Source organism: Homo sapiens, chromosome 6, assembly GCF_000001405.40.
Source record: "Homo sapiens chromosome 6, GRCh38.p14 Primary Assembly".
Taxonomy (NCBI): domain Eukaryota; kingdom Metazoa; phylum Chordata; class Mammalia; order Primates; family Hominidae; genus Homo; species Homo sapiens.
The window spans coordinates 130,904,091-130,920,977 of NC_000006.12; the positions used below are offsets into that span (position 1 = coordinate 130,904,091).

Sequence of the window (16,887 nt, forward strand, 5' to 3'; positions counted from 1 at the left end):
CATCTTTGTAATATGAGACTAGTATATAAGCACACATGAGTTATATACAATAAAAATGACCTTGGTATTAAAATCTCAAATATTAAATATTAGTGACTTTTAAAAGTATAACATAGAAAACAAAGTTGTCAGCAGTATCATTTTTAAAATTTTCATTACTAGAATATAAATGAAGATATTAAAGAAAGTGAATAAAATTTTTGAAACTGGCAACATTTCAAACTATTTGGATGTACCCATTTTCAAGGAAACTTCTAAAACTTAAGAAAAACTGTTTTGGTTTTCAATCCTGAAATTACCACTATGCTCCCAGGGCACAAAAATAAACGAGAGCTGTAAGGAAAGGTTCATTTAAAAATGCAAATATAAAGTACCTGGTGATATCTTCAGTCAATTGAGAAGGATCAGGAGGATAAAACTTCACATTAAAAGTGAATAGCCATGGAAGGTCTGTAATTATTAAATATCACAGTTATGCACCCAATTAACAGAAGAATGACTATTGTGATAAAATTTAAAGGTCAAGGATCAAACAGTACAGACTAATCCAACTATAAATCAGCATGCAGAATTTTTTTATTTAAATAAAATTAAAATTGTTTATAAAATAAAAATGAAATAAAAAATAAAATAGAAATCAATTACATAAATAAGCCACCATTAAAGAGTAATAGGTTCTCTTTCTTATAAACATTTACTGATACCTCAACATGTGTTTTATATGGTGATCTATTATACAAAAATTTTAATATAACCTCCATGTAATAGTTCTGAGATAAGATTCAATTTAACCACAGGATCTCCTGTTGCCAAATATTCTCCACCCTTTTTTTTTTTTTTAAAATTCAGGATTTTCTACATTGTTGTGGGGAAGGAGAGTAATGATCAAGAGATAATAGCTATTCAAAAAATTATTAATGGGCTATTTGAAGAAGGTGTTAAAAGAGATCCCAAGAAGGGAAAGCATGGTATAATTTCATGATACTTTAGGACAATACAATTATTTCCCAGGTTTTAGTAGAGTAGGTGTAAGTATATTCGTATATAACATACACTTGGCTGTATTGTGCCATAAAGAATGAATAAGTCAAGCAACCATATCATAAATGGCTTGTTAAAAGTTAAAACACTGCTATTTATACGTAAAATTTAACTGCTATTTTGATAGATCATGTGTAGGATAACTTTAAAAAAGTAAAACTATGGGGGAAAGGGCAGGTATTATTTTCCTAATGGAATCCAAATAATTCCACTAGCCTGAATTTAGAGTTTGACTTCAAGTTCATAATATTTTTAAATTAAAAAAATGTGTGTGTGTATATATGTTATTCCTTTTTTTTTTTTCTGAGACAGAGTCTCACTCTGTCGCCCAGGTTGCAGTGCCGTGGCATGATCATGGCTCACTGCAACCTCAACGTCCCAGGCCTAAGTGATCCTCCCATCCTAGCCTCCCAAGTAGCTGGGACCACAGGCATGCGCTACGATGTCCGGCTAACTTATTTTTTACTCTTTCAGAGACGGGGTCTCCCTATGTTGCCAGGCTTGTCTCGAATCCCTGGGCTTAAGCAATCTCCCGGCCTCAGCCTCTCAAAGTGTTGGGATTACAGGCATGAACCACCACGCCCAGCCAAGTTATTCCATTCTATACATATTTAAAGACCTTATGAGATGTTTAATTTATGAACCTGAAGAAAAATTCCTTGAATCCCATTCTCTTGTTCAGTGTGGCATTTTGTCCTTTGTCTTACCATCAGCACACTACCTTTTCACTCACTCAAATATTTATTAAATGGCTACTGTTGTATACAAATGCATTTTTTGCTGGATTTTGGCTCAATGCACCACTGATTCAACCAATGAAGTCAATCCTGCTGAACTTAAGAAGCAGATTTCAGTTCTGCTTTACACATTTAAAACATAATAATGGGATATAAGATTTTCCTGAATATCAAGATATATGAGGTTTCTTGGCCTATAGCGCCATGATGACTGTCAAATATCCATGCATCGTGTTTGTGTAAGCATTTCTTCAAGGTGACTGCTAGTCTCGAATTAAGTAAAGTTATCACAGGATTATCATTTCTTAATGGCTCCTTGTTTGTTTTCTAGGTAATAACACTAGAACATGCTTGCCTGGACAGGACTCGGAGACATTTCTACTAGACCACATATTTTCTAATATACTTCCAAATCTAAAAGCTGTTGAAATGTACCAATAATGCTAAGCTTTTTTAAAACTGACAATTAAAAATGGTATACATTTTGGTACAAAATATGATATTTTAAAATACGTATACATTGTGGAATGGCTAAATTGACCTAATTAACATATGCATTACTCTTCACATACTATTTTTGCAGTGAGAGCACTTAAAATCTACTCCCTTAGCAGTTTTCAAGTTAAACTTTTAATTTGATTACATATTATCATCATAATTTTTACCTAGCTGTTTATAAACAGTCCTTCTAGCTACAGAAATGTTTACATACTAGTCATACGCAAGCCTTAGACATATAGTCTTATTTATGTTTCAGAAAATAAAGGTTTTAAGGCAAATTTTAAATGAGAATCATTAAGTTGTTGGTTGTCATAGGTAGCTCAAAAAAGATTAATATTTATCTTCGCTAACTGCCTATGAGCTGAAAAATAAAAATAAAATTATAGCAGACACCAAGGATAGAATAGGCAGGTTTTTTGGTCCATTTTAATACAGAAAGAAAGAGGTAGATACAACTGCTAAAGCTTCATTTCCTCAGCCTGCTTTCATGATGGGTACAGTACAGGATGCCATTTAAAGAACTGGTTCCAACAGTTTTAAAAAGTCTAATCTTACTGTTACTCATATTGCCAAACCACAAGGGTAAAAGTTCTGAAATAACTTTTTGAAACTTCACAGATAATCAAAACATAAGAACATGATTCATAATCGGCAAGAGGTTTGGCTTCCAAAAGTTAGGAAATCTCCATGACTCTGAAGAGAGTGGCACAAAAAAAAAATAATAATAATAATCAAACAAGAACCCAAACAAAACCATAGGAAACAACTCAATGGAACATCAATCATGTTTCAGAGGTTGCCCTGTTCTCTCTGTTTGGGTCACTTGGCAGGTCTGGTTTCAGAGAAAGTGTAAGAACTAAGCATCCGTAACCTTTTTGAATGCATGCACTTTGCAAAGTAACAACTGCAGAAGGGACAAAGGAAAAAGTTTCAAAGCTCTGGTACTGTTTCTTCCATAAGGTAAGCATAATGTATCTGGTGTCTACTTATTCCTCTTCTTTTTCTCCCTTTTCCATCATGAAGCAAGCATAAATGGATGAAACACCAAGAAAATAAATGCAAGAAAGAGAATGTGGGAAACCAGGAATAATAATCAAAAGGATAGTGACCAACCATTCCAGCCTGCCTGGGACTGGTTCCAGCTTTAGCACTTAAAGTCTCATATCCTGAGAAGCCCCTCAGTCCTGGGCAAATCAGGAGGTTGGTCACTCTAATCAAAGACGTTTTTAAAAAGGAAAAGAAAGATGAGTCTACAGGAAGAGGAAATGGGAAAAATAAGGTATATGCTCAGAATAAAAAAAGAGAGTAGGGAAGCAAAGAAATGACAGGAAGACTACCAAAAAGATAAATAATTCGAGAGAGAAAGAAATAAAGAAAACAAATGTGAAGAACCTAAAATGGGAGCTAGATGGTAGATGAAAAGGGCAAGAAGGGAAAGGACAGATTGGTTTCAGTATTTTGACCTTAGGAATAATAAGTAAGTAAGGAAATGAAATCAACAGTACAAAGGGCATCTTGCATGCTGGCACCTGGAGAAGAGGTTTCTCCTGGGACAACTCTGGGCTCCACAGTCGAGGAAGGCTGTTAGGAATTTACCAGCCTTCAGATTTTATTCTCCAGACCGAAAATTCCAACTGCCTGTAGCTGCCTACCTTCTCTGCTTCAGTCATTCACAGACCCTGAAGTAAATTAAGTATCCAGATCCCCTAACAGAGATTTCTCTCTATTTATCATGTTTCTTGGCACAGATACCAAAAAAACAGCCACAGGCAAAACAACCTGCAGAGGCAGAACGTATAGAGAGAACTGAAGCTGGTTAGAGTGGGACTCTTGGAGTCATTTTGGGATTGTACAAGAACAAATGGGAAAAGGGGAAGAAATGAACAATGAGGCCTAACTACAAGCCCAGGCTCAAAGAGTATGCAAAGTGGCCTTGGATTGTAGAACCAATGAGCAGAGATGGCAGTGACCTCAGAGAACTGAAAAGATTGTTCCCCTTGCTTCTCCCCAAAGAGTCCTCACTCCAGTACATCCAGGAACAGTGTCTCTATGTCTCTGTGGCCAAAGATGTGCATATTGAACTAATTATGCACTTTCAAAATGAAGCAGACAAAGCAATAGTATCAGGTCTCACTGGAGTAAAATTTACATAGAAAGTAAAATTTACAGAAAAGTAGTTTCTCTTTCTTTCCCAGAAAAAAAATGTCAGATGTTACTTGGTAGGACATTCTGAGTGAATATTTAGGAATGTGAGTCTAGAACCTTCCCAAAAGTAGGAGCACCTGAGCCATGTACGAAACAGTCACAATTCCACAAAAATATTATTAGTATTATTAACTTCTAAGATGGCATAAATGCAAAATAGAACTGACCATTCTATTACTGATCATTTATATCACAAATAGATATCAAGACACCTTAACTTCAAAGAATGATTATTTATATACTTACTTCTCAGTTGTCTCTTTATTTCTTTAGCAGGATCTAACCAGTTCTGCATGAGGGAAAAAAATTAATTCATAAGAAATATTCTAGAGTCTAAAATAGAACAGTTTACAGTTCACATAATTATTTAAGTGTAAACACATTTTAATAAAGTATTATTCAAAGCAACTTGCACCTATCAGCATTCCACTGGGCTAAGTATTGCTTTGTCCTTGGGGACATATGTGTGTAAATGTGGTAAGTGTGTACTATAAGTAAAATATTCACATGCTTTTAAGGTGGGTCCCATGGGCCTCATTCTCCTGCATCTAAAATGGTCCAAATGATGAGACATATCTTCACACAGTCTTATTCTGTAGAACTGCCAACAAATAGCCCCTGCAGACACTGAAATGAGAGCTCTTCAAGGACAATAATGGATTCCTAGTCATGAAGGATAAAGTGTGAAAATTGAAACTGTTGGCTAAAAGTATATACATACCAAGCGAACACAATTATCTCAACTCCTAAAACGAACTACTCCTCCTCCTTAATCCTCCCTTTCCCTCCAACTCTATAATTGTAAGGAGAGGTAAGGTCAGGTTGGAGACAATATTTCCCTTCCTGGTCTTAATATAACACCCTTCTTTCTTCTTAACCTCATTCTAAGTTGGAAGTAGCAATCACAAGGAACTCCTTAAGAAAGCTTTACTCAGACTGCTGTGCTGGCAGCTCTGGCCAGGCCAATCAGGCAAGAGAAACAAATAAAGGGTATTCAAATAGGAAGAAAGGAAGTCAAATTGTCTCTGTTTGCAGATGACATGATTGTATATTTAGAAAACCCCATTGTCTCAGCCCAAAATCTACTTAAGCTGATAAGCAACTTCAGCAAAGTCTCAGGATACAAAATCAATGTGCGAAAATCACAAGCATTCCTATACACCAATAATAGAGAGCCAAATGATGAGTGAACTCCCATTCACAATTGCTACTAAGAGAAAAAAATACCTAGGAATACAACTTACAAGGAATGTGAAGGACCTCTTCAAGGAGAACTACAAAGCACTGCACAAGGAAATAAGAGAGGACACAAACAAATGGAAAAACATCCCATGCTCATGGATAGGAAGAATCAATATCGTGAAAATGATCATACTGCCCAAAATAATTTATAGATTCAATGCTATCTCCATCAAGCTACCATTGACTTTCTTCACAGAATTAGAAAAAACTACCTTAAATTTCATATGGAACCAAAAAGGAGCCCATATAGCCAAGACAATCCTAAACAAAAAGAACAAAGCTGGAGGTATCACACTACCTGACTTCAAACTACATTACAAGGCTACAGTAACCAAAACAGCATGGTACTGGTACCAAAACAGATATATAGACCAATGGAACAGAACAGATGCCTCAGAAATAACACCACACATCTACAACCATCTGATTTTTGACAAATGTGACAAAAACAAGCAATGAGGAAAGGATTCCCTATTTAATAAATGATGTTGGGAAAACTGGCTAGCCATATGCCGAAAACTGAAACTGGACTCCTTCCTTACACCTTATAGAAAATTAACTCAAGATGGATTAAAGACTTAAACATAAGACTAAAACCATAACAATCCTAGAAGAAAACCTAGGCAATACCATTCAGGACATAGGCATGGGCAAAGCCTTCATTTCTAAAACACCAAAAGCAATGGCAACAAAAGCCAAAATTGACAAATGAGATCTAATTAAACTAAAGAGCTTCTGCACAGCAAAAGAAACTATCATCAGAGTGAACAGGTAACCTACAGAATGGGAGAAAATTTTTGCAATCTATCCATCTGACAAAGGGCTAATATCCAGAATCTACAAGGAACTTAAACAAATTTACAAGAAAAAAATAACTCCATCAAAAAGTGGGTGAAGGATATGAATAGACACTTCTCAAAAGAAGACATTTATGTGGCCAACAAACATATGAAAAAAAGCTCATCATCACTGGTCATTAGAGAAATGCAAATCAAATCCACAATGAGACACCATCTCACGCCAGTTAGAATGGCGATCGTTAAAAAGTCAGGAAAACAACAGATGCTGGAGAGGATGTGGAGAAACAGGAACACTTTTACACTGTTGGTGGGAGTGTAAATTAGTTCAACCATTGTGGAAGACGGTGTGGTGATTCCTCAAGGCTCTAGAACTAGAAACACCATTTGACCCAGCCATCCCATTACTGGGTATATACCCAAAGGATTATAAATCGTTCTTTTATAAGGACACATGCACACGTATGTTTATTGCAGCACTATTCACAATAGCAATGACTTGGAACCAACTCAAATGCCTATCAATGATAGACTGGATAAAGAAAATGTGGCACATATACACCACGAAATACTATGCAGCCATAAAAAAGGATGAGTTCATGTCCTTTGCAGGGACATGGATGAAGCTGGAAACCATCATTCTCAGCAAACTAACACAGGAACAGAAAACCTGCATATTCGCACTCATAAGTGGGAGCTGAACAATGAGAACACATGGACACGGAGAGGGGAACATCACACACCAGGGCCTGTTGGGGTGTGGGGGGCTAGGGGAGGGACAGCATTAGGAGAAATACTTAATGTAGATGACGGGGGTTGATGGGTGCAGCAAACCACCATGGCACGTGTATACCTATGTAACAAACCTGCACGTTCTGCACATGTATCCCAGAACTTAAAGTACAATAATAATAAAAAAAAAGAAAACAAGTCAATAGTTACATCCAATGGTTAAATAAACTCTCCAACTAAACAACAAAAAAGAAAGCTTTAAAAAAATGCTAGGAAACTGTTACAGCATCTTAAAGCAAAAAAGACCAAATTTAAACCACTAGGTTCGAACCACCCAAGGACATTAAATTTTTGTTTTTCGAAGCTACAAGCAAAAGTCCAATAAAAAATTTAGATTTTTTTGTTTATATTTTTATATTTACATTTTTCTACCCTCAAGTTATCACTAACATAGGAGAAGTGCAATTTTTGAGGTACAATAAACTAATTCAAATAAATGAGTCTAATTAAGTTTTACTCATTCTAAGCAGTGTCCAAAATAATATAACAGGGGTCCTCAACCCCCATCCCACGGACTGGTACCGATCGTGGCCTATTAGGAACTGGGCTGCACAGCAGGACGTGAACAGCAGGTAAGTGGGCATTACCACCTGAGCACCGCCTCCTGTCAGATCACCACCCGCGTTAGATTCTCAGAGGAGCACAAACCCTATTGTGAACTGCACAAGAGAGGGATCTAGGCTGCACACTCCTTATGAGACTCTGACTAACGCTTGATGATCTCAGGTGGAGCAGTTTCATGCCAAAACCATTCCCTCACCCCCACCCCGGTATGTGGAAAAATTGTCTTCCACAAAACCGGTCCCTGTTGCCAAACAGGTTGGGGACCACTGTATTACAACATCTGTGCTTAAACAGAATTTTATTCAGATATATAAAGCAAACAATTAAAATGCTTATTAGTACACAGAAAATAACCTGCTGTCTTAATACCATATTAAAATGGTATAACGGAACATTAACTGACACTATTAAAAAGTAAAACAGTAAGATGCTGTGAAAGCAGAGCCGCATGGCCCCTCGGGTTTCACTACTGTTCATGGCCCGCACTCGGGGTAGCAAGGATCCAAGGTGTACATGGCTCTGTTCTAACACTGGTTATATTCAAACCTCTCAATAAAGAACTACCAGAGCATGGTCTAGTTTCATATTACTGGTGTCCCAGCTGCATGCACTACTGACGTGAGGGGCAGCAGGCCTCTCTAAGGGTGCCTCCAGTGCCATGTGAGGGAGCAGCTCTAATTACCCCTTCAGAAGAGAGCCTGCCATTCAGTTTGCATGCACTGCAGCTGCTGTCCCACCCAACAGCTGGCTCACAAATGGCCAGCCTCGATAAGTGCACAGGAATGAAAAAACACATCATTCAGCCTCTAGCCCACACTGGTTGGAGGCTGGGAGAGAGGTGAGAAAGGGGCAAATGGGTGGAATTTTCACCCAAGGAACAACCATAGCAAGAAAAACGAAATTGAATGGCGCCAAATTGAAAAGAAAAAAAAAGTCCCCAGAATATTAACACAGAGAAATTAAGAGAAAGTGCTGGTCTTAAAGACAGACCCTTCCAAATCCCCAATTTCATTAAGTGTGAGCAGTGATACAGATCCCCAGTACAGAAGAGCAACAAAGGACCCTTCTCTGTTCCAGAAGATGGTGGAAGCTTGTGAACCCAAGGACTAACCCTGTGTCCCAGCCACCTGGCACCTTCTATTCTCACCTAAAGCACCCGGCCCTTGTACAAATTACCTAACAGTTTCTATAGGGCATGGTAAGAGTCAGCTCTATAAACCCAGCAATATGAGTGAAAAGTCAGACAGCCAAATTCAGACTTGGTGTCATTCTCAGGCCACTTTCCACAACACTGCCAGACAGATTACTGAAGGCTGAAATGGCTTACTTTCAACCATCCAAAGACTAAGTGGGCGGGGTTTACCTGATGTGATCAAACAGCAGCATGACTTCCTCACCGCGTTTTCCCTTTCCTAACCACACTCACTTTCACACTGTAAGTTCCATTCCTGCCAAGCATTAGGCTGTCTTCTCACTCCCCAGTACTACAACTTTGCAAGGGCTGGAACAGACCATATTATTTATATCTTCCAGGGTACTTAATACAGTTTTAGGCAACCAGTGAGAACTAAATTAATACCTGCTGACTGATATATGCCCCTTGCTTGCCTCCTTCCTCTCCACGCTGTGATCATCTTAAATGATCACGTTATATTACTTTTATTACATTTATTTTTACTTGAATACATATCTCTAATGAGTACTTAGATGGTAAGTGGGGTATAGCATCATAAATTCCTAAGTAAAAAAAAAATGACTTAAATGACTTAAAAGAAATACAAGTTAATGATCTGCATTACCAGTTACAAAGAAATAACAAACAAAACTTTTAAATAAATACAGTAAATAATAAAAATTAATTTCTTGGTTTGACACTTAAGGAGGAGGGTTGAGCAGACCAAGAAGCAGACACAAAAAGATGGAAAATGCCATCAGAGAATGAGAAAAATGCATGAGGGTGTGTGTGCACAACATACAACAACCGCCCTCACCCCATGATACACTACAGTATTCATTGCCAGGTTTTAGACTTAAAGATTTGTCTGCTGTGGCCACATATATAAACCGTGGAATCAGAAATACACGCAGTAAAATTCTGGTTTTCTATCAACTCTAACTTGGGCACATTCCTTGGCTTCTTTAAGCCTCAATTTCCTCAAACACAAAATGGGGATCACAACATCTACCTCATAGGGTAGTTCTTTTCAAACAATATTCAAGCCTGAAGAATAAATATGCATACAAGTACCTTCCCCAGCAGATCATCATTAGTAGATCACTATTTGCAATAATAAAACTAAATTATCATCTTTTGGTATATATATCTTCTTCACATAATTTTATATATCCATAGGTGATGTGTTATATACATTAAAGAATTTAATCTCTATATGAATATTTCTACCCACAAAAAGTTAATAAATCAGACTTTCGGTTCACAAAATAGGGTCACTGTATTCACAGGCGAGATGACATGAAAACCAAGCCCTTTCTATATGACTAGTCTAAGAGCTTCTATGTACATGTTAAAGTATTATCCAGTTTGGCCGATGGTAAAAATCCACCCGGCAAATTTTTTAAAAGACAGCTCTTTGTCCATGGACAACTGCCCAGAACATCCTAAAACATTCTCCAGGGAAGGAACTCAGGAAAGTGACAGCTTCAGGCAATTCAAGATCAGGCAAGACAGGGATCTTCTCAGTGTTTCCCAAACATTAAGGTATAAGCAACCATGCAAAACTCGAGAGCTGACCTATATCAGATTTCAATAAAATTTATCTTGTTTTATTAAAAAAAATAAAACAAGGATTTTGCCAACTACTTAAGAGCAGGAACAGTCACTTACTCAATTCAGTATTCTCCTTACTTTCTCCTCTCCATTCCCTAATCCAAACCCAAAACATGAACACAGTAAATATTTATCTCCTAAATGAACATCAGGTAAAATAAGAGACTAATAATAAAAGTTATAAGGAATCCTAAAACAGGCTTCCAACAGAAGTAAAATAAAATTAAAATGTGGCCTTAGAATATCAAGTATTGTTAAATCACCGGCCGGGCGCGGTGGCTCACGCCTGTAATCCCAGCACTTTGGGAGGCCGAGGCGGGCGGATCACGAGGTCAGGAGATCGAGACCATCCCGGCTAAAACGGTGAAACCCCGTCTCTACTAAAAATACAAAAAATTAGCCGGGCGTAGTGGCGGGCGCCTGTAGTCCCAGCTACTTGGGAGGCTGAGGCAGGAGAATGGCGTGAACCCGGGAGGCGGAGCTTGCAGTGAGCCGAGATCCCGCCACTGCACTCCAGCCTGGGCGACAGAGCGAGACTCCGTCTCAAAAAAAAAGAATATCAAGTATTGTTAAATCACCTTCAAACATGAAATTGGGAGGTAATGAACTCAAGTTTGGGGAAATATGTTCCATCTTTATTTTTACTAACTTCTAACTGAAACTTAGCATCACTGTCAATTAGGAACATAGCAGAAAAAAACCTGGTTAATATCAGCAGAACCTCTTTGTCACCTGCAGAAATCAAAAACATTTCCACATCACATTGTAGTAGCTGCAGATCTTAAAATACCATTTATGCTAGCCAATATTTTGAAGTCACAGTAGCTACTAGATTTGATACTGATGATTAATATATAAATAAAAACACATAATGATATGGTTTGGCTCTGAGTCCCTACCCAAATCTCATCTTGTAGCTCCCATGATTCTGACTTGTTGTGGGAGGGGCCTGGTGGGAGATGAGTGAATCATGGGGGCAGATCTTCATGCTGTCTCATGATAGTGAATGGGTCTCACGAGATCTAATAGTTTTAAAAACGGGAGTTTCTCTGCACAAGCTCTCTCTCTCTGCCTGCCACCATCCATGTAAGATGTGACTTGCTCCTCCTTGCCTTCTGCCATGATTGTGAGGCCTCCCCAGCCATGTGGAATTGTAAACCTCTTTCTTTTGTAAATTGCCCAGCCTCAGGTATGTCTTTATCAGCAGTATGAAAACAGACTAATATACATACCTATTACTTTGTCTCCAATTTTAGATTACTATTTTGGGAATGTTATTTAGTTATTGGCTTTCTTTGTAGCCCTGTGTACTTTTATTATAGTTATACATTGAAAACACTGTTCTGAGAAGCAGCCTATAGAATTCAGCAGACTGCCAAAGGAATTCAAGGCACAAAAAGAGGTGGGATTTTTTTTTCCTGCCTTAAAAGGTTACAGAATTTTTTTTAAACTAAGCAGCACAGTGAATAGCTGTACTTATATGTATTTTACACTAAAATCTTTCTATTAGTTAATTAGAGAATCTCCTTAATCTTACTCTTTATTTGCCACAAATCTGAGGATGAAAGTCTTGTCTTATGACATTTCCCCTACAACATTTTCATTACGGGTTCCCAGAAAAAGTGTTAAACATGATTCTCAATTATGCTCTAGTGACAGAAACATCTAGGGGGAAAAAAAAAGCTTAATTATGAATCCTAATACTGTATTTATATTCATAGAATACCAGTGTTAGAAAGAACCTCAGAATAATGGTCCAAATGTCCATATTTGGGGAACGGCCTAACTCTTGCCTCAGTGGCTACGAATATTTGAACACTTCTGGGACCATGAACCACATGGGCCCACTAGGACTCCCCTCCTCCCGTGGCTTTCATGACATTTCAAACTCCTGTAATGCTCTCTGCTACATCAAAAGAACAGTTTATCCCTACATCAATGCTTCTCAAACTTTAAAGGTGCGTATGAATCACCTGAACATCTAGCCAAAATAAAGTCTATTTCAGCAGGTCTAGGGTGAGCGCTAGAGTTCTTCATTTCTAAGAAGCTTCTGCGTGGAGCCAACGCTGCTGGTCCTTGGACCACTCTTTGAGTAGGATAGCCCTAGAGTTCTTTTTATGTAGAAATTTCTTTCTTTTCCTGAAAGCTCAATATAGAGAGACATTTTTCAAGTCCTACTGGCTTGTCAGCCTTCACTGAGTAAACCTTCTAATTTTTGACAGCTTCCTGCAGAAAGCCCTGGCAGGGCACAGTTTCCACATTCCCATATCTAAGTGTTCCTTTGAACTCCTCCCCATCACAATAAGCAGCTGTACCAAAGAATTCCAGGTCTTTTTATTCTACTTGCTAACCACTTTCACCTGAGAAGAGATATGCAACCACAGTCATCAACTGGCATTAGTAGTCTGGGTGTGCAGTTGTCCACAGCAGGGTCCTAACCATGCTTGACCTGGATAACAACCCAAAATACAGTCATAAAATCCATCTTCTAGTTAAGACAAAGAGTCTTTTCTTGACCAAACTTTAGTCAGGCTCCTCTGAATCCTCTTCCCAATTAGGCTTCAGGTTTTAGACTTCTGTGTCCATCTACACACCATCCAACTTTAGCAAGAATCCTGTTAATAAGTTGGTTTAGTGGGAAACCCCCATCCTTGATAACTAATTACCCTTGATATCTGATGGGGTTCCTCATCCTCCACCATCCCCCAAGTGATATCAGATCACCCTCACCTGCCTTCAACAAGAATCCTGTTAGCTTGGTTTAACCAGAATTCCCCTAAGTGCACCCCTGATGTTTCCTCTTATTAGTTTCCCATCTACTAACCCCCACCCTGCTCCTTGACTATAAATTTCCACTTCTCCTTGTCGTATCTGGAGCTGAGCCCAATCTCTCTTGCCTACTGCAAAACCCCACTGCAAAGGTCCTTATACCTATTACAACAGTCCTGAATAAAGTCTGCCTTACCATTTTAACAAGTGTTAGAATAAGTTTTTCTTTAACAGTTCCTTTCCCCCCAAAAAAATCTATCTCATTCATTTAATTCTCCTTTAAGTTAGACCCTAAGACCCCAGAGTTCGAAGTTTCTCAAATGCCTCGCCATGCCTTCCTCACTTGCTTTAGGTGATCTCTAATTTGGCCAGGTAAGAGAAATTAACAAATTCAACCCAATTCACAGTGTATGACTAAATGTTAAAAGTAGTTTTGTCTAGAATCTGCATTTTCTCACAGGAATTTATAGTGCTGAAACAGATCCCCTTTAATATACCTTTGCCTAAATTGGGTTTAAGAGAACTCTACCATAATGCTGGTGTTAGGAGAAAAGTTACAGGCACTGTATCACAGTGAAACATTCACTACACATCTGGGAGAATGTGGGATTATAAAGTTTAACTAGATTGAATGTAGAACTTTATTAAAGAATAGTTTATATATGCAAACAGTTTAATATTTGAGTTTTTAGTTCTAGTTTCTGGAACAAAATGGTCTATTAGATGACTGCTTCAACTAATTTTCATAAAGTTAGCCGTGAATATCAACTACATTTCTAACAAGCTCCTTTTTCAATATAGCTTGCAGCAAAATGACGTTATAATGTCATTTTGGGCCAAATGCCAAACTATTAACATCAAAAATTCAAGACAATATTTTTCCCTTTAAAGAGAGTCCAAAACCCTTAACGATGGTTTCATTTAGACATGAATACAAGAACTATATGGACTTGGAATTCCATATTGAATAACATGTTGCCTGATTCCACGTATTTTTAACAACATTTTCCATAGTAAAGTTTATATAAGCACTCTCAATAGACATTAAAAAAGCTTTAACACTAACAATGACAGATTTTTCATACCTAGAATGAACTAAAAAGACTTTCACCTCAGTGTCTCAACCATGAGAGATATAGTACTGTATTAAAACCAAACAAATGTGTAGATTTTCTCTCCATGAAAAATTTGTATACAAATAATCGTGGTTTTCACTCACCTTTACTTTATAATGGGTTGAATTAAGAATCAAAATTTCCCATAAGTACAGATAATATTCGGCATGGAAAGGAAAGATCCTTACATCATTATATTCTGTTGTTAAAACTGCATGGGATTTAAACAAAGCAGGACTGATTGAGCTGAGTTAGTATAATAGTAATAAATTTATGTGGGGGAAAAAATAGGATACCATACAAATCTATAGTGGAAGAATAAGAGTTGTTTTGCCTAGATGTCTTGAGGACTGGATTTTGTCTACATAAGCAGATAGAAATTTTTAAAAATTACACAACATAAAAGTTATAGCAAATCAGATTATATATGAATAATTAAAGATATTGCTAATTGTATTTAAATATTCACACCTGAAAAGTGAATGTCTCAGAAAGGACACCTCATTCTTAAGTTCCCAAAGTTTTTGAGTTAAAGTCTATATACAAAGCATGTGTCTAATTTTATATGTTCATCTTACCTTTCATAAGAGAAACTACCACGTATAATAAGGAATTATGAATTCCTTATTTAGCATTAGTGTCTTTCTGTCAATAAGAACGCTACAGTAGACCCAAACAAATGTACCTTTATCTTAGTATTTTCTTCCTTAATGACCTTAATCTGTCTCCTTGACTTCAGCCATCCCCTTTCACAGCCACACCCTGGGTCTTGTCATCATCACATAGTTCTTCACCTCATTAGACTTCATCAGCTCATTCTCAGATGCAATCATTTCCTCTCCCTCTAATTTTCTACCCATGTATCCCCACTGTACCACTGTACCTACTCTTCAACATCTTTGAACATTCATCCTTTGCCCCAGCCACGTTCTCCCAATGTATCAGCCTATTACAGCTTCAGTAATTTTCTTTCCTGTGACCCTGTGAATAATCAGCTTAATTACATCTCATCAGCAACTTCAGATTTCACAATCCTGCATCCTCTTACTATTGCCTCCATGAACATAGTCAACTGAGAACCCTGCTAATACTCCATTTTTTCAGCTATGACACTAAGGTTGCTAATGGCAATTAGAGAAAAACACACACAAATATATTCTGCTGCCATCCCAAATGTATGACCCCCACAATCTCAGCAGAACTATTAACAGCAATCCACATACTAATTCTTGGTTGGCTCCTTCTCTTGTCCCACTGCTACCCTAGTCACTCTTAAGCAAATGCTTTTACCCTCTATTTCACAGAGATTGGAGACTACAATTTGCTCAACTAAGATTTTTTTTTTTAACAACTGCACCACCTTTTATTCTGTTTCTTGCAGACTCAGGATGACATAACATCTTTATTCAAGACTAATCCTCTTCATGACTTTCATCATCATAGTCACTCTCCTCTTTCTTCAAACATAACTTCTCTTGGGTTTTCTCATAGCTAAAGTCAAAGTTATTTCCATCAAAGTAAATCTGCCAACCCCAAAACTCTCAGTCAACTGTCACCACTGTGCAATATGATAGCCACTGGTCACACGAGGCTATTTCAATTTAAATTACTTACAGTAAATAAAATTTAAGTCTATTTCCTCGTACACACTAGCACTCTTTCAAGTGATCAATAGCCATATGCAGCTAATGGCTGCCATGCTGGACAGTGTAGGTATCAAACATTTCATCATCATGAAAACTTGTACTGGACATTGCAGGTTTACATCCTCTAGTATCATTCTCCCATCTGTTCTTTTCTCCACAGCCAAACACTTCTTTAAACAACAATTTACACTCACTGTCAAATTTCTCTTTTTTTCTTTCTTCTTTTTAGGCAAGGTCTTGCTCTGTCACCTAGGCGAAAGTGCAGTGGTGCAATCACAGCTCATTGCTGCCTTGACCTACTGGGCTCAAGTGATCCTCCCACCTCAGCACCCCTCTCCCCTCCTCCGAATAGCTGGAACTAAAGGTATATGCCACTATGCCTGGCTAATTTTTTAATTTTTTTCTAGAGACAGAGTCTCACTATGTTGCCCAGGCTGGTCTCAAATTCCAGGGCTCAACTGATCCTCCCGCCTGGGCCTCTTAAAGTGCTGGGATTACAGGTATGAGCCACCATACCTGGCCTCTCAAATTCTTTACTTTTAAATTTCTTCATCCTTCACCTACTCCCTGATCCCCAATCTAGCCAACAGCTTACAAACGTGTCCAACTTGGCAAAATAAAAATTAAGTTCCATCTCCGCTCCCTAGCATACCTCAAACTGCTGCTCTTCCTCCAAGGTCCCTGTGTAAA

General features: G+C 37.8%; 1 protein-coding gene across 23 annotated transcripts in view, besides 1 other annotated feature; it reads right to left on the bottom strand.

Annotated features, from left to right (window-relative positions):
- The window catches only part of EPB41L2 (erythrocyte membrane protein band 4.1 like 2), a 223,899-nt gene that overhangs the window by 64,744 nt on the left and 142,268 nt on the right, over positions 1-16,887 (bottom strand). For all 23 annotated transcript variants that reach the window (NR_146620.2, NM_001135554.2, NM_001350314.2 and 20 more), the window contains 2 exons: positions 4,731-4,773; positions 375-450 (listed from right to left, as the gene is read on the bottom strand). Coding sequence is in view for 21 of the 23 variants with exons in the window: in NM_001135554.2 (NP_001129026.1) it covers positions 375-450; positions 4,731-4,773 (119 nt within the window). In the remaining 2 variants the exon portion in view is untranslated. The remainder of the gene's footprint in view (positions 1-374; positions 451-4,730; positions 4,774-16,887) is intronic.
- Positions 4,226-4,285: a silencer, noted in NCBI's record as "silent region_17541". NCBI's record gives its function as "represses an Ori minimal core promoter by ATAC-STARR-seq in GM12878 lymphoblastoid cells {active_cell/tissue: GM12878}" and the evidence as "EXISTENCE:reporter gene assay evidence [ECO:0000049][PMID:35858748]".